The sequence below is a fragment of the Homo sapiens genome, chromosome 6, assembly GCF_000001405.40.
Source record: "Homo sapiens chromosome 6, GRCh38.p14 Primary Assembly".
Taxonomy (NCBI): Eukaryota; Metazoa; Chordata; class Mammalia; order Primates; family Hominidae; genus Homo; species Homo sapiens.
The window spans coordinates 32083788-32107995 of record NC_000006.12 but is presented as its reverse complement, the minus strand read 5'-3'; the positions used below and the strand labels follow the sequence as shown (position 1 = coordinate 32107995).

Genomic DNA, 24208 nt, shown 5'->3' with positions numbered 1-24208 from the left:
TCCCAGGCCGATTAGCTCCCCAGAATAAGGGGTATCTGGATTCCCCAACCTACCCCTCCCTGACACCTCCTTCCTACCTGGTTCCAGCCCAATATCTGAGACCCCCACATTCCCTTTTTAGTCTCACTCCTAGAATCCTTCTACCTTCACCTCTCATTGCCAGATTCAACTGAGGGTGTAGCAGGAGGGTCAGAGGGAGGCATGGGGGCAGGACCAGAACCCCCATCTGTGGAACATCTTTTATGGAAGCCAGCCCCTCTCCCCACCCCTTGGGACCTATACAGTCCCTAATGAGCAAAGTGTCAAAGTTGGCTACAACACAAAATACCCAGGAAGCTGAGTCACAGTTTGGGAAGATGCCCCCATCCCTGCCAGCCCTCCAACTGTGGGGAGGGTGCCAAGAGGGTGAGGCCATATCTCTCTCCAAACACACACTACAGAGAACCACCCCAGACATAGTGGCAGGGGGAATGGTGAAGGGGAGACACAAGAGACACCCAATTCTTTGCTTGCCCAGTACCGAGAGAAGAGCAGAATTATCCCAGGAGCTGGAATGGGGAGCTGGAGGGCTGGGTGGTGGCAACAGGGCAGGGAGGGAGATTGGGAAGGAGCCTCTGGGTGTGTGGTCAATGGAGGCTGCTCTGCTCTTCTAGACCAATCTCACCAGCTTTCCAGAAAAGCTGGTGAGCTCTCTTCACTCCTTCCTGGTGCAAAGACCCTCTCTGCTTTCCCCCACTGTGCAGGGAAAGATGAGGAATCCACTTATTTGGGGAGGGGCACTGGACAACTCACAGAGGCCTCCAGGGGTACGGGGAAGTATGGTGGAGGCCATGTGTCCGCTGCTTCCCACTGGGAAGGGCCTCCTGCTTTGTTCCTCTCACACCATCCAGGTTCTTTCACTCACAGAGCTGCCCTCGGAGCCAACAAGAAATCAGCCTTCTTAGGCATCACCCAATGACTAGGTGTGGAGGAAACCTGAAGGGGAGATTGGGTGTGTGTGCACGTGTGTGCATGGGCACCCATATGTGTACCTACAAGGATGCAGGTTTTGGGGGTGGATTTGTGTGTCTGTGCAGGTATGTTTGTACTTGTGGATGAGCACACATTAATATATTTGTAAGTGTACATGTGTACACATCTTTGTGCAAGCATTCCCAGGGTGTGGGAGTGATTAGCATGGCCTTAGACACAAAGTGACAGGATTTGAGGGTCGGTCAGAGCCCATCTCTTACCCAAGGCTACACTCCAGGCTGAGAGAAGGGCTGGGGAGACAGGAAAGGGCAGCTCTCTGTATGCCAGGCCTCTCGGCCTGGGCTTTCTTGGGTGGGGAGCCTCTTGGTGTGGAAACACTCTGTCCCTGTTCAGCTCCCTTTCCGTCTCTTGCTGGCTGGTAGCAGAATGTGATGGCTGGTAGCCCCAATTACTCCTTTTTCTCTGATCCAGGAGAAAAGTTTAAGAGTAGAAAGCCAGAAGATGTGTGCGTGTTGGGTGGAGGTGTGTGTGTGTCACAGTCACCTCCGCCTACCAGTGACACATCCCCCACTCCTCACCGGTCAGCATTTCCACACCCACCCTGCCCTCCTCCTTTCCCCAGCCTCTGGTCTGGAAGAGCTGGGCACCTTTCAACATCTCTCCTCAACTCTTCACCCTAGCTGAATCCTGACTGGCCCCCTCACACTCAGGTTTGCCATAGCCCTGTCTCCTGTCTTATCCTGGGACCCCCCTACCACCTTTCCTCCCACCTCTTGTCTCTGTGTGCTCCCCAATCCCTGCCTCAGTAAACTCCACAAACACATACAACTGGGTAACCGTCATCCAGATCAAGAAACAAGACACCTTTAGCACCCCAGAAGCCCCCCCCCCCATGCCCCTACTAGTCACTACCCCCTCAAGAGTATCACACTTCTGACTTGGAGCACTACAGATTAATGTTGCCTCTCCTCAAACTTCACATAAATAGAACTGTGCAGCATGCTCTTTCCTGTGTCTGGCTTTTGTTCAACATCATCTTAGTAAGATCCATCACACTACTGCATATAACTATAGTTCATTCCTGCTTTATTTTATTCCACGGTGTGAATAAACCACAATTTATTTATTCTACTGATGTGAAATGTTTGAGTAGTTCCCAGTTTGGGGCTATTATGAGCTATGTTGGGTATATTCCTAGGAGTGGAATTGCGGGGTCATAGGGTTTGCATGTGTTCACCTTTAGTACATTTAGTAGATTCTGTCAAACAGTTTTCCAAAGTGCTTGTACCATCTGGTCCTGCCAGGATCTTCCCTGGCCTGGCCTCTGATTCTGCCTCAGCCCTGGTGGCTGTGTCTAACCAACTTCCAGTCCCAGACACTGTCCGTGGTCCTAGCCCTGACCTTGGTCCTGCCCTTGGTTCCAGCCTTAATGCTAGTCCTGCGTTTACATTGAACTTTTCATTCATTCATATAGTCGGTAAATATTTATTGAGCACCAGTTATGTGCCAGATGCAGGGATACAGCAGCCAAGAAAAAAAAATAGGTGCCATGCCTGCCCTCATGGACTTTATAGTCTAGTGGGCAAGAAAGTAATAAAATAATCTCACAGTATATTTATTATTACTTTGGACTTCAAAAAAATATTTGTTTATATATGATTGCAAATTGTTATAAACGCTACACATGAGAATGGCATGATGCTGTGATATCACATGATAGGAGGACCTGACCTGGTCAGGAAAACTTCCCTGTGAAAAAAATGGCGGGCTGAGACCTGAAGGATGAGAAGGCCAAGAGAGAAGGGAACAGTGTTCCACACGGATGGAACAGAGTATACAAAGATCTGGGGTTGGGGATGGGCACAGAGAGTATGAGGGACTTGAAGGTCAGTGGAGCTGGAATGGAGGGAGGGAGGGAAATGTTATGGGTGGTGAAGTGGGAGCAGGGGATACATGATGGTAGGGCTGTTTGTCAGTGTTCTAAGAGAATTTGGAAGGGAGACACTGAAGCATTTTGAGGATAGGGACATCCTGATTGCGTTTGTGAGACTGTAGAGGGCAAGAGTGGAAGCAGAGGGAAGGGTCAGGGCTGGACACAGTGGCTCACGCCTGTAATCCCAGCACATTGGGAGGCTAGGGTGGGAGGATTGCTTGAGTCCAAGAGTTCAAGGCCAGCCCGAGCAACATAGAAAGATCCTGTCTTTGCAAAAAAAATTAAAAATTAGCTGAGCGTGATGGCACACACCTGTAGTCCCAACTACTCAGGAGGCTGAGGTGGGAGGATTGCTTGAGCAACAGGAGGTCAATGCTGCAGCGAGCTATGATCGCACCACTGCACACCAGCCTAGGTGACAGAGTGAGACCCTGTCTCAAAAAAAAAGAAAAAAAAAGCAGCCAGGAGGCAATTGCAGTTGTCAGGCAAGAGGCGGATGGAAGCTTGGATTAGAATGAAGGTAAGTGGGAGAGAAGGAAATGAATTAAAGAGATGTTTATGAGAAAATACAGGTAGATACAAGGAAATATGGTAGCCTTGAATGGGCTATTAGGTTTCTGGCTTGTAAAGCTGGATGAATGGTGGGGTCCTGAGCTTCAATGGGGAATTCTGGGAGGGGATGGGATACAGGAAGGTGACCGTGAGTTCAGGTTACAGGCATGGTGAATTTGAGGTGCCCAAGTGGAGATGCCAAGTAGGCAGGTGGATATATTGCTGTGGAGCGAGAGGAAGATGACTGGGGTGTTTTACAAATTGGTGTATAGTTTGGAAATTGAAGTTATAAGTCTGGATGAAGGTACCAGGTGGATGACTAGAGCAGTAGGTCTATTAATTTAGTAGAAATTTGTTGCACATTACAATCATCTGGGGAGCTTTTAAAAATACTGAGTAAAATTCACTTACTTGGTCGTTCTGGTCACATCTCAAGTGTTGCAGAGCCTCATATCCCTCCTGGCTACCATATTGGTCAGCGTGGATACAGAATGTTTTAAAAGAGAAGGGCCAGGTGTGGTGGCTCATGCCTGTAACCCCAGCACTTTGGGAGGCCGAGGTGGGCAGATCACCTGAGCTGAGGAGCTCAAGACCAGCCTGGTCAAGATGGTGAAACCTCGTCTCTACTAAAAATAAAAAATTAGCTAGGTGTGGTAGCGGGTGCCTGTAGTCCCAGCTACTCGGGAGGCTGAGGCAGGAGAATCACTTGAACCCCAGGAGGCAGAGGTTGCATTGAGCCAAGATCGTGCCACTGCACTCCAGCCTGGGCGACAGAGTGAGACTCCATCTCAAAAAAAAAAAAAAAAAAAAAGATGCGGTGAACTGTGTCTAGTGATTTTGAGAGAAGTCAAAGGTCAAGCAAGATGAAGACAAATGTCCCTTAGATTTTGTGGCACCGAAGTCATTGGGAAGCCCTAGAGGGAGCTGTTTGGTGGGTTGGAGGGAGTAGAGTGGATTGAGGCATGCATAGGCTATAAGGAAATGTAAACATCAAATACAAATAAATTTTGACAACTGTGGCCATGAAGTAGAGGAGAGAAATATGTGGTGGCTGGAGGGGGTGTGAGATTGGGGATAGGTTTTTTAAGGTTTCATTTTTTTTTTTTTTTGAGATGGAGTCTCGCTCTGTTGCCCAGGCTGGAGTGCAGTGGCACAATCTCAACTCACTGCAACCTTTGCCTCCCAGGTTCAAGCGATTCTCCCGCCTCAGCCTCCCAAGTAGCTGGGATTACAGGCACCTGCCACCATGCCCAGCTAATTTTTTTTTATTTTTTATTTTTAGTAGAGACGGGGTTTCAGCATGATCGCCAGGCTGGTTTTGAACTCCTGACCTCAAGTGATCCGCCTACCTTGGCCTCCCAAAGTACTGAGATTACAGGCATGAGCCACCACACCCAGCCATGGTTCAATTTTTATACAGCAAAATGCCAAAGTCTTAAGTGTGCAGCTCAATGAGTTTTTGAATATGTATATATCTATGTAACCACCCAGATTAAGATACAAAATATTTCCAGAAATATGACTCCTTCCGGTCAATAATCCCTACAAGTAATCTGATCCTATCTTCTAAAAGCAAAGATTAACTCTGCCTGTTTTTGTTTGTTTTTTTGTTTGTTTTTTGACATAGAGTCTTGATCTGTTGCCAGGCTGGAGTGCAGTGGCATTATCTTGGTTCACTGCAACCTCCGCCTCTGGGATTCAAGCAATTCTTTTGCCTTAGCCTCCCAGGTAGCTGGGACTACAGGTGTGTGCCACCATGCCCAGCTAATTTTTGTATTTTTAGTAGAGACAGGGTTTCACCGTGTTGGCCAGGATGGTCTCCATCTCTTGACCTCGTGATCCGCCCGCCTCGGCTTCCCAAAGTGCCGGGATTACAGGCATGAGCCACTGCACCCAGCCTCTGCCTGTTTTTGAACCTCATATAAACGGCATTATTCAGAGTGTTTTCTTTTTTCTTTTTTCTTTTTTTGGTAGCTCAGGAAGGGTATATAAGAGTATAAGAGCATTCTCTTTCTGTGTGTGATATTTTTTACTCAGCACTATGTGTGTGAAATTCACCCATGTTGCATGTAGCAATAGGGTGTTTTTTATTGCTGTATAGTATTCCATTGTATGACTCTGGCACAATTTATTTATCCACTTTATGAATGGACACTTGAGTTGCTTTCAGTTTTAGCTAATATAGGAATAAATCTCATGAACATTATGGTCTACGTCTTTTGGAAGAACTATGCAGTCATTCCCACCGGATATTTAGTTATAGATATCTGGGTTATAGACTATATGTTTTAGCAGATACTACCAAACAACTTTCCAGTGTTTGCATTAATATATGCTCCCACTTGCAACAGATGACAATTCCAGCTGCTTCACATTCTTGCCAATATCAAGCAATGACAGCCTCTTTGAAGAGGGACAAGCATTCTGGAGGATATTTAGTGGCATCTTATTGTGGTTTTAACGTACATTTACCCGATAACTAGTGATTTTGTGCATCTTTTAAAATGCTCCTTGGATCTGGGTGCAGTGGCTCACACCTGTAAGCCCAACTACTGTGGAGGGTGAGGCAGGAGGATTGCTTGAGGCCAGGAGTTCAAGGCCAGCCTGGGCAACACAGCAAGATCCCATCTCTACAAAAAATTTAAAAATTAGCCAGGCATGGTGATGCCCATCTGTAGTTCCAGCTACTCTGGAGGCTGAGGCAGGAGGATCACTTGAGCCCAGGAGTTTGAGGCTGCAGTGAGCTGTGATTGTGCCACTGTGCTTCAGCCTGGGTGACAGAGGTAGAGTTTATCTTAAAATAAAATGAAATAGGGTGGGTGTGGTGGCCCATGCCTGTAATCCTAATAACTTTGGGAGGCCAAGGCAGATCACTTGAGGTCAGGAGTTTGAGACCAGCCTGGCCAACTTGGTGAAACCCTGTCTCTACTAAAAAAAAAAAAAAAAAAAAGGCTGGGTGCGGTGGCTCACGCCTGTAATCCCAGCACTGTGGGAGGCCAAGGTGGGCGGATCACGAGGTCAGGAGATCGAGACCATCCTGGCTAACACGGTGAAACCTCATCTCTACTAAAAATACAAAAAAATGAGCCAAGTATGGTGGTGGGCGCCTGTAGTCCCAGCTACTCAGGAGGCTGAGGCAGGAGAATGGCATGAACCTGGTAGGCAGAGCTTGCAGTGAGCCAAGACGCACCACTGCACTCCAGCCTGGGCGAAAGAGCAAGACTCCATCTCTACAAAAAAAATGAGCTGGGCATGTGGCGCATGCCTGTATCCTAGCTACTCCAGAGGCTGAGGTAGGAGAATCACTTGAGCCCAGGTAAAATAAATAAAATGTTTATTGGCTCTTTGGCTATATTCTTTTCTGGAGTACCTGTTTGTCTTTTGACAATTTAAAAAACTAGGTTTCCTGATTTTGGCTTATTTTGTTTTGCAGAGATTTTTTTTTTTTTTTTTTTTTTTTTGAGATGGAGTTTCACTCTTCCTCTCAGGCTGAAGTGAAGTGGCATGATCTCAGCTCACTGCAACCTCCGCCTCCAGTTTCAAGCGATTCTCCTCCTCAGCCTCCCGAGTAGCTGGGACTACAGGTGCCCGCTACCACGCCCAGCTAATTTTTGTATTTTTAGTAGAGATGGGGTTTCACCATGTTGGCCAGGCTGGTCTTGAACTCTTGACCTCATGATCCGCCCACTTCAGCCTCCCAAAGTGCTGGGATTTCAGGTGTGAACCACCACACCCAGCTGCCTTCTTATTCTCTTAATGATGTAATTTGATGACCTGAAATTTTGTTTTGTTTTTTTCTTTTTCTTTTTTTTGAAACAGAGTATCAGCTCTGTTGCCCAGGCTGGAGTGCAGTGGCATGATCACAGCTCACCACAGCCTCGACCTCCCAGACTCAAGTAATCCTCCCACCTCAGCCCCTGAGTAGCTGGGACTACAGGTGTACCACCACGCCCAGTGAATTCTTTTTGTTTTTTGTAGAGACAGAGTCTCACTATCTTACCCAGGCTGGTCTCCAACTCCTGGGCTCATGCAATCCTCACACTTAAGCCTCCTGAAGTGCTGGGATTACAGATACGAGCCACTGCACCCGGCCTATGGTTAGGTTTTGTGTGTGTTTTACTTAAGAAATCTTGCGGCTGGGTGCAGTGACTCAAGCCTGTAATCCTAGCACTTTGGGAAGCCGAGGCGGGCGGATTGCCTGAGTTCAGGAGTTTGAGACCAGCCTGGCCAACATAGTGAAGCCCCGTCTCTACTAAAAATACAAAAAATAGCTGGGTGTGGGAGCAGATGCCTGTAATCCCCGCTACTCAGGAGGCTGAGGTAGGAGAATCACTTGAACCTGGGAGACGGAGGTTGCAGTGAGCCGAGATAGCACCAGTGTACTCCACTCTGGGCGACAGAGCAAGACTCAGTCTTAAAAAAAAAAAAAAAGAAATCTTGCTTACTCCAAGGTCAGAAATTTTCTGTAAGATATTGCTATGAAAGATATTGCTTTACTTTTCTTATTTAGGTCCTGGGTTCATCTCAAATTAATTTCGGTATATCAGACATAAGGTGGAGAATGACTGTTTTTTTTTTTTTTTTTTTTTTTTACTTAGGGATGTTGGATTGACCCAGCACCAGGAACTAAAAAGACCATCCTTTCTCCTCTTAACTGCAGGGGCACTTTTGTCGTTAATTAGTTGACCACATATGTGTGGGCCTGTTTCTGGGCCCTATTCTGTTTCATCTGTCTATCCTTGCACCTTTAAAATAAGTCTTGATATTTGATCATGTAAGTCCTGAGGAAGAGGATTTTTGTTTTTTTTTTTTCAATTGGAGATATTTGAGCAAGGATCCAGTTGAGAGTGAGGAGTTGAATAAAAAAGAGAGAGAAGCCAAGCATGGTGGCTCATGCTTTTAATCCCAGCTACCTGGGAGGCTGAGGTGGGAGGATGGCTTGAGCCCAGGAGTTCAAGTCCAGCTTCAACCAGGGGGTTGAGCAAGATCCTGTCTCTATATTAGAAAGAGGTCGTGCGGTGACTCATGCCTGTAATCCCAGCACTTTGGGAGGCCAAGGCGGGCACATCACTTGTGGTCAGGAGTTCGAGACCAGCCTGCCTACATGGTGAAACCTCATTTCTACTAAAAATACAAAAATTAGCTGGGCATGGAGGTGGGCACCTATAATCCCAGCTACTCAGGAGGCCGAGGCAGGAAAATCACTTGAGCTAGGAGACAGAGGTTGCAGTGAGCCGAGATCGCACCACTGCACTCCAGCCTGGGCGACAGAGTAAGATTCCATCTCAAAAAAAAAAAAAAAAGTGAGAGAGAGAGGGAGAAGATAATCTGCACTTTTCTTAGAAGACAGTAGGAGCTGGGATCCAGGTGTTTGGGGAAGGATTGGCCCTAGGTACTCATCCACTAATTCATTCAACATTGATGTGTCAGATAGAACATTTATGTGCCAGACACAAGTATACAGCAGTCCTGGGATAGATGAGGTCCTTGTTCTCAAGGAGCTCCCATTGTAGCATTGAGAGAAAGGTAATAAGTAAACTGATAACTCAGGCAGCAGTAAATGCCATGAAGAACAGGAACAGGATATTGTGATAGAGAGTAATGGAAGACTGCCCTAACTGGGAGTTAAGATTTGAAGATGGAGCCAGCCTTTATGAGCAGAGTGAAGAGCATCCCAGACATAGGGAACACACAATGCAAAGGCCCTTGGAGTAGTGAGAGCTTGTAGTGCTCGTGGGAAAAACAAAAGACCAGTGTAGAGCCGGGTGCGGTGGCTCATGCCTGTAATCCCAGCACTTTGGGAGGCTGAGGCGAGCAGATCACCTGAGGTTAGGAGTCTGAGACCAGCCTGACCGACATGGAGAAACCCGGTCTCTACTAAAAGTACAAAATTAGCCAGGCATGGTGGGGCATGCCTGTAATCCCAGCTACTCAGGAGGCTGAGGCAGGAGAATCGCTTGGACCTGGGAGGCGGAGGTTGTGGTGAGCTGAGATCGCACCACTGCACTCCAGCCTGGGCAATAAGAGTGAAACTCCGTCTCAAACAAACAAACAAAACAAAACAAAACAAAACAAAACAAAAAAACCAGTGTAGGGGAACACAATAGAAAAGGGGGTGAGGAGCAGGGTAAATAAATGATATCAGAGAGGTAGAGAACAGACTTGCCCAGGGAGGGTATCCTTTAGGGTTGGGCGGAATGTGAATTTTTACATGCATGTGAGTTGGGTAGATTACTTGTGGGTGGTGGGACCGTGGGTATGTGCTGGAGAAGGGGGGATTCATTTTGTCTCCTTTTTGAAGCTGCTCTCATACCTACCCTTTCTCCCTGCAGCCTCCTGAATGATGCCAGCCCAGTATGCTCTAACCTCCAGCCTGGTTCTCCTGGTGCTGCTGAGCACAGCCAGAGCAGGCCCCTTCTCTTCACGGTCCAATGTGACACTGCCAGCCCCCCGGCCCCCTCCCCAGCCAGGGGGCCACACAGTGGGGGCTGGAGTGGGAAGCCCCTCTTCTCAGCTTTACGAGCACACAGTGGAAGGAGGGGAGAAGCAGGTGGTATTCACCCACCGCATTAACCTGCCCCCTTCCACTGGCTGTGGCTGTCCCCCAGGCACCGAGCCCCCAGTCCTTGCTTCAGAGGTACAGGCCCTGAGGGTCCGTCTAGAGATCCTGGAGGAGTTGGTGAAGGGGCTCAAGGAACAGTGCACTGGGGGATGTTGTCCTGCCTCTGCCCAAGCTGGCACAGGTGAGCAGGTGATCACAGAAGAGGGTGGAGAGGTGGGGTGGGGTGGGCATTGCTAGTCCATAAAGGTCCTTGGTATGAATTAGAAGAAGGCACTCCTTCCTCACCATGAGGGGTGTGGATGCAGCCCAGAACACAACTTGGAGAGCAGAGCTGGGCTACATGTCAACCAAAGCATATGCGAGGGCCCTGAGAGGCTGCATACATTACACATACTAGCAACTGGGAGCAGACATGGCCTTATGAGATGAGGCTAGCCTGGCTAGGGGCCTGCACATAGGAGCACTACATAGGCTCAGCCTCTCTCCCAGGAGAGAGACTGAGACTTGCCTCTCCCCTCCTACTCCAGGTCAGACAGATGTGCGGACCCTCTGCAGTCTCCATGGTGTGTTTGATCTGAGCCGCTGCACCTGTTCCTGTGAGCCAGGCTGGGGTGGGCCCACCTGCTCAGACCCCACAGATGCTGAGATCCCTCCCTCTTCCCCACCCTCAGCCTCGGGGTCCTGCCCAGATGACTGCAATGATCAGGGTCGCTGTGTCCGTGGTCGTTGCGTGTGCTTTCCCGGCTACACTGGCCCCAGCTGTGGCTGGCCATCCTGTCCCGGGGACTGCCAAGGCCGTGGGCGCTGCGTGCAGGGCGTGTGTGTGTGCCGGGCAGGCTTCTCAGGCCCCGACTGCAGCCAGCGCTCCTGCCCTCGAGGTTGCAGCCAGAGGGGACGCTGTGAGGGTGGGCGCTGCGTGTGTGACCCAGGCTACACTGGTGACGACTGTGGCATGAGGAGCTGCCCTCGCGGTTGCAGTCAGAGGGGGCGCTGTGAGAATGGGCGCTGCGTGTGTAACCCCGGCTACACTGGCGAGGACTGTGGGGTGAGGAGCTGCCCTCGGGGCTGCAGCCAGCGGGGACGCTGCAAGGACGGGCGCTGCGTGTGTGACCCCGGCTACACTGGCGAGGACTGTGGTACGCGGAGCTGCCCCTGGGACTGTGGCGAGGGCGGGCGCTGCGTGGACGGCCGCTGCGTGTGCTGGCCCGGGTACACAGGCGAGGACTGCAGCACGCGGACATGTCCGAGGGACTGCCGGGGCCGCGGGCGCTGCGAGGACGGCGAATGCATTTGCGACACGGGCTACAGCGGGGACGACTGCGGCGTGCGCAGCTGCCCTGGCGACTGCAACCAAAGGGGCCGCTGCGAGGACGGCCGCTGCGTGTGCTGGCCGGGGTACACTGGAACCGATTGCGGCTCGCGCGCCTGCCCACGCGACTGTAGAGGTCGCGGGCGCTGCGAGAACGGCGTGTGTGTTTGCAATGCGGGCTACAGCGGCGAGGACTGCGGTGTGCGCAGCTGTCCTGGGGACTGTCGTGGCCGGGGCCGCTGTGAGAGTGGCCGCTGCATGTGTTGGCCGGGGTACACAGGCCGGGACTGCGGCACGCGCGCCTGTCCTGGCGACTGTCGCGGGCGCGGGCGCTGCGTGGATGGCCGCTGCGTGTGCAACCCGGGCTTCACCGGTGAGGACTGTGGGAGCCGTCGCTGTCCCGGGGACTGCCGTGGGCACGGCCTTTGCGAGGATGGCGTGTGCGTGTGTGACGCAGGCTACTCAGGGGAAGACTGCAGCACGCGCAGCTGCCCCGGGGGCTGCCGAGGCCGCGGCCAGTGCCTAGATGGGCGGTGTGTGTGCGAGGACGGCTACTCTGGCGAGGATTGCGGTGTGAGGCAGTGCCCGAATGACTGCAGCCAGCACGGCGTGTGCCAGGACGGTGTGTGCATCTGTTGGGAAGGCTACGTGAGTGAGGACTGCAGCATCCGCACCTGCCCCTCCAACTGCCACGGGAGGGGCCGCTGTGAGGAAGGGCGCTGCCTGTGCGACCCAGGCTACACCGGCCCTACCTGTGCCACCCGCATGTGCCCGGCTGACTGCCGGGGACGTGGGCGGTGTGTGCAAGGAGTGTGCCTGTGCCACGTGGGCTATGGCGGTGAGGACTGCGGGCAGGAAGAGCCTCCAGCCAGCGCCTGCCCTGGAGGCTGCGGGCCCCGGGAACTGTGCCGGGCAGGCCAGTGTGTGTGTGTAGAGGGCTTCCGAGGCCCTGACTGTGCCATCCAGACATGCCCAGGGGACTGCCGTGGCCGAGGAGAGTGTCACGATGGCAGCTGTGTCTGCAAAGATGGGTATGCTGGCGAAGACTGCGGAGAAGGTGAGCAGGCAGCCTTCCCCAGTGTACTCTGGGACTGTGATTCTGTGAACAGGAGCCATGGGGAAGACCTGAGCCTGAGGAAGAGTGGAGGGAGAGCATGTCATTCCAAGGAGCCAGTGCCCACCAGGGGCAGCAGAACCACAGGGGTGGGGCTTTCCAGTGGGCAGGACTGGCCTTCAGATCTCTGAGGAGCAGGTTGGGGCCCATTTAGTTGCATTTAGGGAGATTCTGTGCTCCTGAAGATGGAGAGAAGGTGAAGGCGATCCAAGCCCCGTTCAGCCCTCTGTCAGCTATTCTCCACTAGCAGAGAGGAGTGGGAGTTAGGATGGGCCTCTTCGATGTCCCTGAGTAAAAGGGGCTGTGGGTGGGGGTGGTTGCCTTGTGCTAACCAGCTTTCCCTAACCCATTCTCTTGGGCAGAGGTGCCAACCATTGAGGGCATGAGGATGCATCTCTTGGAGGAGACAACAGTTCGGACAGAGTGGACCCCGGCTCCTGGCCCCGTGGATGCCTATGAAATTCAGTTCATCCCCACGGTGAGAGAGATGCCAGGCTCCAGGAGGGGACTGAGTGGGCAGGACAGGGGGGCAGGGCTCACCTCCTGGAGGAAGTTCCAGGTGATCATTGGTTGAGTCCAGATGGCTGGGTACCTGAAGCTGCTGTAAAGGCTTTCTTAGCCTGCTTGACACTGGGCACTGAGGCCTCTGCAGCATCTCCAGCAAGCATTGGTCCCACACAGTTGGAACACCTGGTAACAGAGAGCTCAGTACTTCCTGAGGCTGTCCAGTCCATTGTTGGTCATCACTGTTAGCTGTTATCATTGTTGCAGAATCCGTCTGCCCCTATTCTAGCACCTGTCCGTTGGCCCTAGCTGGGTATTCATCAGCAGCTGGAATGTTTTTTGCTTTCCCTGTGTCCTACACCACAGGCCTTCAGGTATTTGGAGACACCAGCCTGATGTCTTCATTCCTCAGGCAAAACCTCCCAGTTTCTTCGCCCCTTTTCCCTAAGTCTTTATTCTCTGAATCCTTTACCTTCCTGTGATTCTTGCTTTTTTCATGTGCCCCCAAAATGTGGGGACAGAGAGGGGCCCACTGACTTACTCTGAATTTATGGACACTTTTCTCAGAGCTGGCGTATAGCAATTTGTAGTCACACAAGCAGGCAGCTGTTTTGGTCATATTTGGTTTTTTAAGTAACTTTTAATTATAAAAGTAATATAGGCCCCGTGCAGAAAACTTAGAAAATACAGATTAGCAGGGAAAAAAGATGGAAGGAAAGAAGACAACATTCAACTATATACACTTTTTTTTTTTTCACCTAAATATAGGCCTTTGCATTTGGCCCTGTTCAATGTTATCTTTTTTGGTTTGGGCCAAGCTGTCTAGGCTGTTGCAATAATTTTGAGTCTGTGAACTTCATCTCCCACCTCCTTGTCATCAGTACATGCAAACCAGTTTTTTCTCTGTCTCCCTCCAACTTGCTCTTTTTTTTTTTTTTTTTTTTTTTTTTTTTTGAGACAGAGAGTCTCACTCTGTGGCCCAGGCTCGAGTGCAGTGGTGCCATCTCAGCTCACTGCAACCTCTGCATCCCAGGCTTAGGTCATCCTCTTACCTCAGCCTCCCAAGTAGCTGGGACTACAGGTGTGCACCACCTTAGCCTGCTAATGTTTGTATTTTTAGTAGAGACGGGGTTTCTCCATGTTGCATGCCCAGGCTGGTCCTGAACTCCTGGGCTCAAGTGATCTGCCCGCCTCAGCCTCCCAAAGTGCTGGGATTACAGGCATGAGCCACCACTCCTGGCCATCCAACTTGCTCTTAAAACATTAGAGGGAACACCCTAAGGACAAAGCCTTGTGGTCACTTATTTGGGGCCTCCCTTTGTGCAGACTGGGCTTTTAAGATATGGTCGTTTCCCCAGCTGCAAATCTTCTGACATTTCTACCATCCAACTCATGTTTTCCTGCATCATCCCACAAATGCCATATGGGGTGTGGGCCATGTCATCCTCATCTTCATCAGCTTAGCCAGGACTCTGTAAAAATAAACAACTCCCTGGGCCTAAAGCCTCGGAAGGCACTAGGACAGAAGGGGACAGCTCAGAGGAACTGTCATCCTCACTCCACTTTGCTTTGTCTTGTCATTATGCTCCTCAGGCCAGCCCCCTACTATGTTCTGCCTCTCCTCACTCTCCAGCCAAAGCAGAAGCAGAAATCTCAACTTCGTGGCGCAACCAAGATAGCTTGAATTTTTTCTTCTGTTTAAACATCTTTTTTTGTTGTTGTTATAAAAATACTTTAATCACGAGACAAGAATTTGGCAACTAGAGAAAAGAAAAACAATTCCTGGCTGCTCCTCACTAAAACAAGCACTGCTAACATTTTAAAGTGTTTCTCCCACTCTCTTCTTCTCTGTATATATTATTTACATAGCTCTAATCTTGAAAGGGTGGGACTTCGAAAAGGAAGTTTCTTAAGAAATTTCAGGGAAAGAAGAATTAAAATAAACACTTGAGATAAGAGGAGCTTTTAGGGCAGCAGTTGTCTCCTGCTCTGAGTAAATAAATACAAACCGATCCTTGGTGTTGTCAAGGGCGCCGCTTTCCAGTTGAAGCCCTAGACTTTCTCCCTCACTCAGAGCCAGGATGGTGGTGCCAAGTTGGCCTGTGCCAGGCTTGGCCATGTTCTTAGCTCATCCATTCTGCTCTCGGTATGGGCATCTGTCACATTCTGGGTCTTCTCTGAGCCTGGGTGTGGAAAACACTCCTGTAAAATTGGTCCCCAGACACTCCTCTTGGGCCTGGGCTACCCACCCTCAGACCATGCTTTCTGCTGTCTGTAGCTGGTCCCTGGCATCGTACCTTCTGCCTTGGCAAGTGCCATCTATTTCTTTTCTTTTCTTTCTTTCTTTTTTTTTTTTTTTGAGACAGAGTTTTGCTCTTGTTGCTCAGGCTGGAGTGCAATGGCGCAATCTCGGCTCACTGCAACCTCTGCTTCCCAGGTTCAAACGATTCTCCTGCCTCAGCCTCCCAAGTAGCTGGGATTACAGACACCTGCCACAATGCCCAGCTACCCTTTGTCCATTTCTGTGGGTACAGAGTATATTCAATAGCTGTCTGTCCTCTGGCTGCTGCTGTCATCCTAGAAGCCTATCTCTACCTCTTACCTTCCCTCTTCCCAGAAGCACTTCTCTCTCAAAGCCCAAACTCTGCTATTCCAGATCAAGGGACATACCTAGTTATTGGAATTATTTTTCAGAATGCAGAAGAAGAAAGTTTCTCCTCTCCCTGTATATGTGGCACTGTTACTCTGACTCAGTGGTTCTCAAAGTGTGTTCCCTGGACCTGCAGCATCAGCATCACCTGGGAGTATGTTAGGCATGCAAATTGTCAGACTCCCCCACTAGATCTACTGAGTCAGAAAGTCTGGGCACAGAGCCCAGTAACCTGTATTGCAACAAGCCCTCCAGGTGATTCTGATGCCCCTCCAGCCTGAGGCCCCCTAAGTGAAGGAATGTTGCTATTTTGCAAAGTGCTAGCTCCACTATGAATGTGAGAGAAAGCATGGGGAAACTGAGGGAGATGAGTTCCTGAATGAGAAAGAGGTTCAGATATTCCTTGTCTGGGTGTGTCCTGCAGCCTGGAAATCAGGGCTAGGCTAAGTGTTCACTGGGACTCAAAACCTCACAGCCTCAGAGAAGTTTTTGCTTGGGTCTAGTCTAAAAACAGCAATGAGGGTGAGATAAGCTCCAAGGACCAGCCAAGGTAGAGTTCATCTGGAGCCACGAGGTTAATATTGAGATAAACTCTAAAACTTCCCAAGAACAAAATCAGTGAAGCAGGCCAGGCGCAGTGGCTCATGCCTGTAATCCCAGCACTTTGGGAGGCCAAAGTGGGTGGATCATCTGAGGTCAGGAGTTTGAGAACAGCCTGACCAACATAGTGAAACCCCATCTCTACTAAAAATACAAAATTAGCTGAGCATGGTGGTGTATGCCTGTAATCCCAGCTACTTGGGAGGCTAAGGAAGAATCCCTTGAATCTTGGAGGCGGAGGTTGTAGTGAGCTGAGATCGTGCCATTGCACTCCAGCCTGGGAGACAAGAGCGAAATTCCGTCTCAAAAAAAAAAAAAATCAGTGAAGCAGCCAAGCTTTACCAAGGGGCAGAGCCAGCTGCCAGCATCTGTTTAGAAAGACTGCTTCAGGGCCAGGTGTGGTGGCTCACGCCTGTAATCCCAGCACTTTGGGAGGCTGAGGTGGGTGGATCACCTGAGGTCGGGAGTTCGAGACCAGCCTGACCAACATGGAGAAACCCCGTCTCTACTAAAAATACAAAATTAGCCGGACATGGTGGCGCATGCCTGTAATCCCAGCTACTCGGGAGGCTGAGGCAGGAGAATCGCTTGAACCCGGGAGGCGGAGCTCGCGATGAGCTGAGATCGCGCCATTGCACTCCAGCCTGGGCAACAAGAGCAAAACTCCCTCTCAAAAAAAGAAAAAAGAAAGCCTGCTTCAGACCAGTAAGATGGTGCTAGGAGACGTAGGAGACATGGGTTAGGTTGATGGACTTTCAGGGGACTGTTCCCAGATGGATCTCAGGAGGAACCAAGAAGTGTCTAAAGGATATATATAGGGAGAAGGAGAACTCTGGGGATAGGCTTGCCTCACTGAAAGAACCAGACATCATCAGGGAGCATCCAAGGTGTGTGTATTGCGGCTGTGGGGATGGGGTGGGTGTGGATAAAGAGAAAGAGACATACACACACACAGAGAAAATGAACAAATAAATTCTGGGAAGGGTAAGGATTTCATGGGTCTTGAGTTGAGGCCAACCCAAGGCTTCCTAGGCTGGGGTATTCTAAGGCAGGGTGAATAGGAGAGGGCTGGAGGTCCTATGTGCCCAGGAAAACTTTTCAACCCAGAAAACTGACAAAGCTTTACTTCATCCTCAACCCAGAAATCTCTACGTGGCCTTCTCATCTGGTTTTATACTTCGGTATTTACTATGTTGATTTCCCCACAGTTCTCTTGGTTTAGGAGAGTACCTTTTGAAATTTCCAATCCTACTTGGCTGAATGGAGGTGTCCCCATCACAGCCAACATAGCTAGGCAGAACACAGCATCCTTAGCGGCTGTCCTAGCTGGACAGCACAGCAAAATGTGGGGCTGTTAGAATGCTCACAGATGTACAGTTCCTCCTGTTTCCCCAGTGGTGGGCATTCCAGGAGACCCTGCCTGGAGCAGGGTCCAGTAGATTCCCTTTGGAGGCACCACACATAATCATAATTCCTTAAATGTACACTTGTAGGAGTGTTGTTTTCTCACAAGCATTTGCTAAGCATAGAGATTGTTGTAAGTATCTCATATATTCAAGATGTGGCCATACATTTAGCTATTAGAGTCTCAGCTACCTGAGGACAGGGACCATATATTTTATTTTTGTGTCTCCAATGCCCAGCATGATGCCAGGTACAAAATCAACAATCAGGAAACATATTTGTGGAACTTTGAGCAGGTGGTTCTTGTTTTGAGGAGCCTACAACCCGGGTGAAGAGACAAGAAAAGTCCCTCAAGGGAAAGGTTGTGATGCGGGTCCCACTCCTGTTACACAGCCATGAGCAGGCATCTACGAGGAGGTTCAGGGTGAGGCAGACCCTTTAAGGAGAAAGTGCAACTTGAAGGGGCATCCTTGATCTACTTCATTTGTTCTGACAGGACCAAGCTTAGGAAAAGGCTCCTCATGCCCAGGTAGTCAGAGTTGCCAGGGCAAAGCTGGAGGGAGAGTCCTGGTGCATGTTGGGTGGAATTCTGGCAGATGAACACGGGGTGCCCATGAGAGGGGACTCTGACAGATAAATAGGGGGTGCCCATGAGAGGGGACTCTGGGATCACACTGCTAGGGCCTAAATTCTTGCCATTTTCTTGGTGTTGGTGACGTTGGCAAGATACTTGTCCTTCTGTGTCTCAGTTTCCTTATCTGTAAAATGGGACTAATAGGACCTGTTTCGTAGGGTTGTTGTGAGAATTAAGTGAGTTCATGTGTGTACCTCGCCTAGAACAGTGGCTCACAAGGAGTTAGCGCTCTCAGCATGTTTGCTCCCCAGCTTGTACAGGGTCAAGTTCCACACAGTACCATGCTGACACTGTTTAGAATTGGAGAAAGAAGAGATAAGGGGGATTGAGCAGCAGAGGCAAGAGTGCCAGCCCCTGAGCCACCTGGTGCTCTCTCTCACAGACAGAGGGGGCGAGCCCCCCATTCACAGCACGGGTTCCAAGCTCTGCCTCAGCCTATGACCAGAGAGGACTGGCCCCTGGACAGGAGTACCAGGTCACTGTCCGAGCCCTTCGAGGGACCAGCTGGGGCCTTCCTGCCTCCAAGACCATCACCACCAGTGAGAGCTGGGGCTGTGGGGAGGGGTGTCCTGAGTGGAGATCTGGACTAGAGAGGGAATCTGCCCTCCGGGAGGGCAGAAGGAAGGGGCTGGATGGGGGCTAGGCTCTTGGAAGGAAAGATGATGATTGAAGAACCAGACACCCACCTGAGTCCTCCTCTTTAACCTGGCTAGTGATCGATGGGCCCCAGGACCTCCGAGTGGTGGCTGTGACACCGACAACACTGGAGCTTGGCTGGCTGCGTCCCCAGGCTGAGGTGGACCGATTTGTGGTGTCCTACGTCAGTGCCGGCAACCAGAGGGTGAGGCTGGAAGTGCCCCCTGAAGCAGACGGGACGCTGCTGACTGACCTGATGCCAGGCGTAGAATATGTGGTGACTGTCACAGCGGAGCGGGGCCGGGCAGTCAGCTACCCAGCTTCTGTCAGGGCCAACACAGGTATGGCTGGCCAGAGGTTAGGGAAGGGCCCTGGTTTCCCAGCCTTGGATCCTCCTCCTCAGGAGCCCAGGCTCAGGGCTCACAGACTCCTCTGAATGCTTCTGGCAGGTGTGTGGCAGTCTCGAGGCACCTGCTGGGGGCCTTGCTCTGTCCTGAGGCCACTGGGGAGACAGAGCCCTCAGATGCCTGGAGTCCTGTAGGAAGGTTATTACAGGTTAGCCTATGAAAGGAATGGCCCCAGGGAGAGAAGTGAATAGGAGATGCTGCCTGATCCAGTCAGTTAAGGGAGGTTCTTTTTTAAATTTAGGTACCGGGACAGGCCTTGTGCTGATAGATCTTGTGGGACTGGAATTAGGCAGATTAGAGATCATCAGTCCTGTTGACTTTTGGATTGGGATTGCTGGGAGGTGGGTCTCACAGCAGTGATTTTCCACTAAACCTCGAGGTTTCTTAACAGATACCTGGATATTTTTCTTTTCCTGTGACAGGGGGACACCCACCTCGCTGTAGCTCATGTTCTCTTCCCCGACTCCCCTTTCTCTCCTTCAGCTACAGGGCCCCACCCACGGGCTTCTCTCTTCTTTCTAGGGCACCAACAGTGGTGGGCTTGGAGGGGAATGGGGGGGCTGCGGGACACTGACCGATTTCCCTCCGTTCTCTTTCCAGGTGGGGCTGGGGCACAGGGAAGAGGCCTCTGGCTCTGGTGGGAGGGATCGAGGGAGGGGCTGCCGCGGGAAGGAGTGCCGGGAGGGAGCTGCCACTGACCTGTTCTCCCCTTTTTTGCCCCTGGCAGCACCAGGCCACTACAGTTACCCGGAGGTGCGCCCCCCAGCCCCGCCCCCCAAGTCCCGGCCCCGGCCAGCCCCAGCCCCGCGGCCCCCACGGCCCCCTTGGCCCTCGAGGCCAGCAGAGGAAAGGGAGGAGGAGTCCCCGCCCAGGCCAAGCCTGTCCCAGCCCCCACGGCGGCCTTGGGGCAACCTGACGGCCGAGCTGAGCCGTTTCCGCGGCACGGTGCAGGACCTGGAGCGCCACCTGCGGGCTCACGGCTACCCACTGCGGGCCAACCAGACTTACACGTCGGTGGCGCGCCACATCCATGAATACTTGCAGCGGCGTCTGTTGGCCGCCGCCCCAGCCGGCTCCCCCGCACCCCCGCCCCGCCACCCCCGCCCCACCGCCAGCCCTGATCCCGGCACCAGGAAACGGGACTCCAACCAGGGAATCTACGGCCTCTCGCCTGAAGGCGTCGACCGGGTGGCTGCGTCCCGCCACCCCAAGCCAGAGGTGCTGGGCAGTTCCGCCGATGGCGCGCTTCTCGTGTCTCTCGACGGGCTCCGCGGCCAGTTCGAGCGCGTGGTGCTGCGCTGGCGGCCTCAGCCGCCTGCAGAGGGCCCCGGCGGTGAGCTGACTGTGCCGGGCACCACGCGCACCGTCAGCCTGCCCGACCTCAGGCCCGGCACCACCTACCACGTGGAGGTCCACGGGGTGCGGGCGGGGCAGACCTCCAAGTCCTACGCCTTCATCACCACCACAGGTAGTGTGGGCTGGGGCCACGGGACACCTATCCCTTGTCCAGCCTCACCTGCCGTTGGAGCCTGCATTCATGAATTCCTCCCACTGCCACCCCCCACTGCCCCCTTCTACCTTCAGGCCCTACCTGGCCGGGGCTCCAGGGGGCCCCCAGGACAAAGCACGAGTCCATTGTCCCTAGAAGACGTCCCCACCCCAGGGTCCTGGCATCCATCCTGTGGATGCCTAAGGTCAAGGCAGCGCCTTCTTTGGGGTTTCCCGGGACACTTCCAGGATTGTTATTTTAGGCAATAGAGGGTGATGTGGTTGGGGCACCTGCAAAGATTCACTGGAGCAGTTTGAGTGGGCTGGGAATTGAAAACAGTGATTCCCGTTCTGACTCACTGTGGTGAGAGTGGCTGAAGACTGTGGTTAGTGGTTACTGTTTTCCACAATTTGGCCTTGACCTTGAAGGGACACATCAGAACTGCGTGGGGGTGGCCTGGGTGCCATCAGGCAGCAACTGTATATTGGGGAGGTGAAACCACTGCTTCTTAAGCTGGCTTTTCAGACCCCCTGGCTCACTTTATGCTGGTCTCTCCCACAGGAACGATGTCTGGGCTTGGGGAAAGGGCACCCTGTGGCTGCTGTGGGGAGGGTGGTGGACCTCTTCTTCCCCCATAGGGCCCAGATGCCACCTGACCTGGATGTCCACCCCCACACCCTCTCTCTCTTCCCACTGCCCACTCTCCTCTTGCATCCTCCCTCTCTAACACCACTGTCTTTCTTCCAGGCTTCTCACTGCAGCACTAATGGAAGCCACCTGACCACCACCCAGTGGGGGGGATGTATGTGGGGAGGGACATGGAAGTCTCCGGGGGCTGGAGGTCATGGAAGCCTTGTGGGGTGAAGGATAGCAGGCTTTATTTTACCTATTACCTGCCTGAAGCACAGGCCCGTCTGCTCAGGAATGTGGTAGATGGGGGTGTTTGGAGGATTGGCTGACCTTTGGGAGGAGGGAGTGGCCCAGGTGAGGGAACCAGAAGTAGAAGTAGAACAAGGCTCTTAGAGGCTGGAGGGCAGAACCTGGGGACTGGGGATTCCTTTCTAGTTCTCATACTGGACTCTCCTCTTTTTCTCACCCTGCCCCTTCCCAGGGTCCTCACCCTTGGGCCTCTTGGGGACTACCGATGAGCCTCCTCCCTCAGGCCCCTCGACGACGCAAGGGGCCCAGGCTCCTCTCCTGCAGCAGCGCCCCCAGGAGCTGGGAGAGTTGAGGGTGCTGGGCAGAGATGAGACAGGGCGCCTCCGTGTGGTCTGGACCGCCCAGCCTGACACCTTTGCCTACTTCCAACTGCGCATGCGGGTGCCCGAGGGGCCGGGGGCACATGAGGAAGTGCTGCCAGGGGACGTCCGCCAGGCTCTGGTGCCTCCACCCCCTCCTGGAACCCCGTATGAGCTGTCACTTCATGGGGTCCCTCCTGGGGGCAAGCCCTCTGACCCCATCATCTACCAAGGCATTATGGGTACATCTTGGACTCTGCTCAGATCAATATCCTGAGATTGGGGGAGGAGCTGGGGTTATTGGGACTTCAGAGGTAGGATGGATATTGAGGGGCCAGTGAAGGGCAGGGCTGATGTTTGGGGCTGGATAGAGGAGAAAAGGAGAGAAAAGGAATTGCAGGTTCAGCAGGAAGATGGATCGAGGGGGATCTTAAAACAATGATAAGGATGGGTGGGGAGAGGGGAAAGAGGCAGAGGTAAAAAGGCCGAGGGTGGGACAGAGATTCCAGGAGAGAGGCTGAAGGTCCCTGGCCCTCCACCTGCAGCTTTCCTTGCCCTGTCCCCTGCCCCCACTCTTCGGTTGCTCCTCTGCCCTTCCCTGCCCTATAAATCTTTCAGGGTGGGCATGGGAAGGCCTCTGGACACTGACCCTCAGCCCCCAATACCTCGTCCCTGGGAGCCTGGTTTGCAGTGGACAGCAGTCCATGGTCCCATCAGCCAGTTTCTGCTGGGGGTGAAGGCTCCTTGGGGCAGGGGGCTCCACAGCCATCAGGACTTCAGACATGGATGAGGTTTGCAGGACCAGTGAAAGACAGGTCCTGGGGTACCTGGCTTTCACATCCCCTCTTTGTTCCTCTCTGTGGGACCAGGGTGGCTGACTCATCCCCCAGCTCCAGGTCAAGCTCACCACTGGAAGAGAGGGTGGTAAGAGAGACAGCAGCTCAGGTGGGCAGAGGAGCTTTCAGACTGCTCTGATGCTGCAGCAGGGAGGCTTGAAACTCTCATTCAGAACCAGGGGGACCTGAAACCCCCGCAAAGATCCTGGTGTGCAGAGAGACCAAGACCTTGTGAGGGATGGAGAAACTGTCACAAGGGAAGAAGCAGAGATTGAGAGGGAAATGCCCCTCTTCCAGAAGAGCTAGTCACTGAGGGGTGGGCAGATAGAGTCTTCCGGGGAGGGATCTATCCAGGATGGAGTGAGGTGGGCAGGGGAGAGGGAAGGAGACACAGACAAGAGAACGGTTGAGTCCACTATGCTTTGCTTTTGCCTCTCAAACTCCAGACAAGGATGAGGAGAAGCCTGGGAAGTCCTCAGGCCCACCACGCCTGGGTGAGCTGACGGTGACAGACAGGACCTCCGACTCCTTGCTCCTGCGCTGGACGGTCCCCGAGGGCGAGTTTGACTCCTTCGTGATCCAGTACAAAGACAGGGACGGGCAGCCCCAGGTGGTGCCCGTGGAAGGACCCCAGCGCTCGGCCGTCATCACCTCCCTGGATCCTGGCCGCAAGTACAAATTTGTCCTGTATGGGTTTGTTGGCAAGAAGAGGCATGGTCCGCTGGTGGCTGAAGCCAAGATCTGTGAGTGACAGCAGTAACACCCTGCCCTCTGTACTGCCCTGAAGAGGTTTTCTCAGTGCTTTGGGAACCTGCTTTGGGAGCTCCGGGAAGGCTTCCTGGAGGCAGTGGTGCATGAGCTGAATTCTGAAGGGAAAGTAGTGGTGGGGCAGGCAAAGAGTTTGAGAAGCTCAGTGCAGCCTGAGGGAGTCACGGTGAGTAAGGTGGGGAGAGCATGGCCAGTAAGAGAATCACTGTTACAGTTTCCTCTGGCTGGAGAACAGGGCATGTGGGGGGTGCCAAAGGGCCTGGTCTCAGGGCTTCCTGTGCTGTGCTGAGGGGCTTGGGCCTCATTCGAAGGCCCCTAGAGGGCCTCTGAAGGGTAAAGTGGGAGAGTGATGAGACTAGATATTTATCTTGCAAATAACCGGGTGGCTGCTGAGACTAGCTGGAGAAGTGAGTTAAGAGCTGGTAAAGGCTAGCAGGGTTGATCCTGCCTATAATCCCAGCACCTTGGGAGGCCAAGGCAGGAGGATCGCTTGAGGCTAGGAGTTTGAGACCAACCTGGCAACATAGTGAGACCCCCCATCTCTACTATAACAAAAGATATTAGCCAGGCGTGGTGGTGCGTGCCTGTAGTCCCAGCTAC

General features: G+C 52.4%; 1 protein-coding gene across 3 annotated transcripts in view; it reads left to right on the top strand.

The window, feature by feature from the left end:
* TNXB (tenascin XB) overlaps positions 1-24208 on the top strand; it is a 68186-nt gene that overhangs the window by 1343 nt on the left and 42635 nt on the right. For 2 of the 3 annotated variants that reach the window (NM_019105.8, NM_001365276.2), the window contains exons 2-8: positions 9790-10200; positions 10547-12385; positions 12805-12920; positions 18617-18773; positions 18948-19211; positions 21878-22246; positions 23287-23583. In NM_019105.8, coding sequence (NP_061978.6) covers positions 9798-10200; positions 10547-12385; positions 12805-12920; positions 18617-18773; positions 18948-19211; positions 21878-22246; positions 23287-23583 — 3445 coding nt within the window. In that variant the 5' untranslated portion in view covers positions 9790-9797. Of the gene's footprint in view, positions 1-9789; positions 10201-10546; positions 12386-12804; positions 12921-18616; positions 18774-18947; positions 19212-20004; positions 20746-21877; positions 22247-23286; positions 23584-24208 lie in introns of all 3 variants that reach the window. The other variant, NM_001428335.1, reaches the window with a different exon arrangement.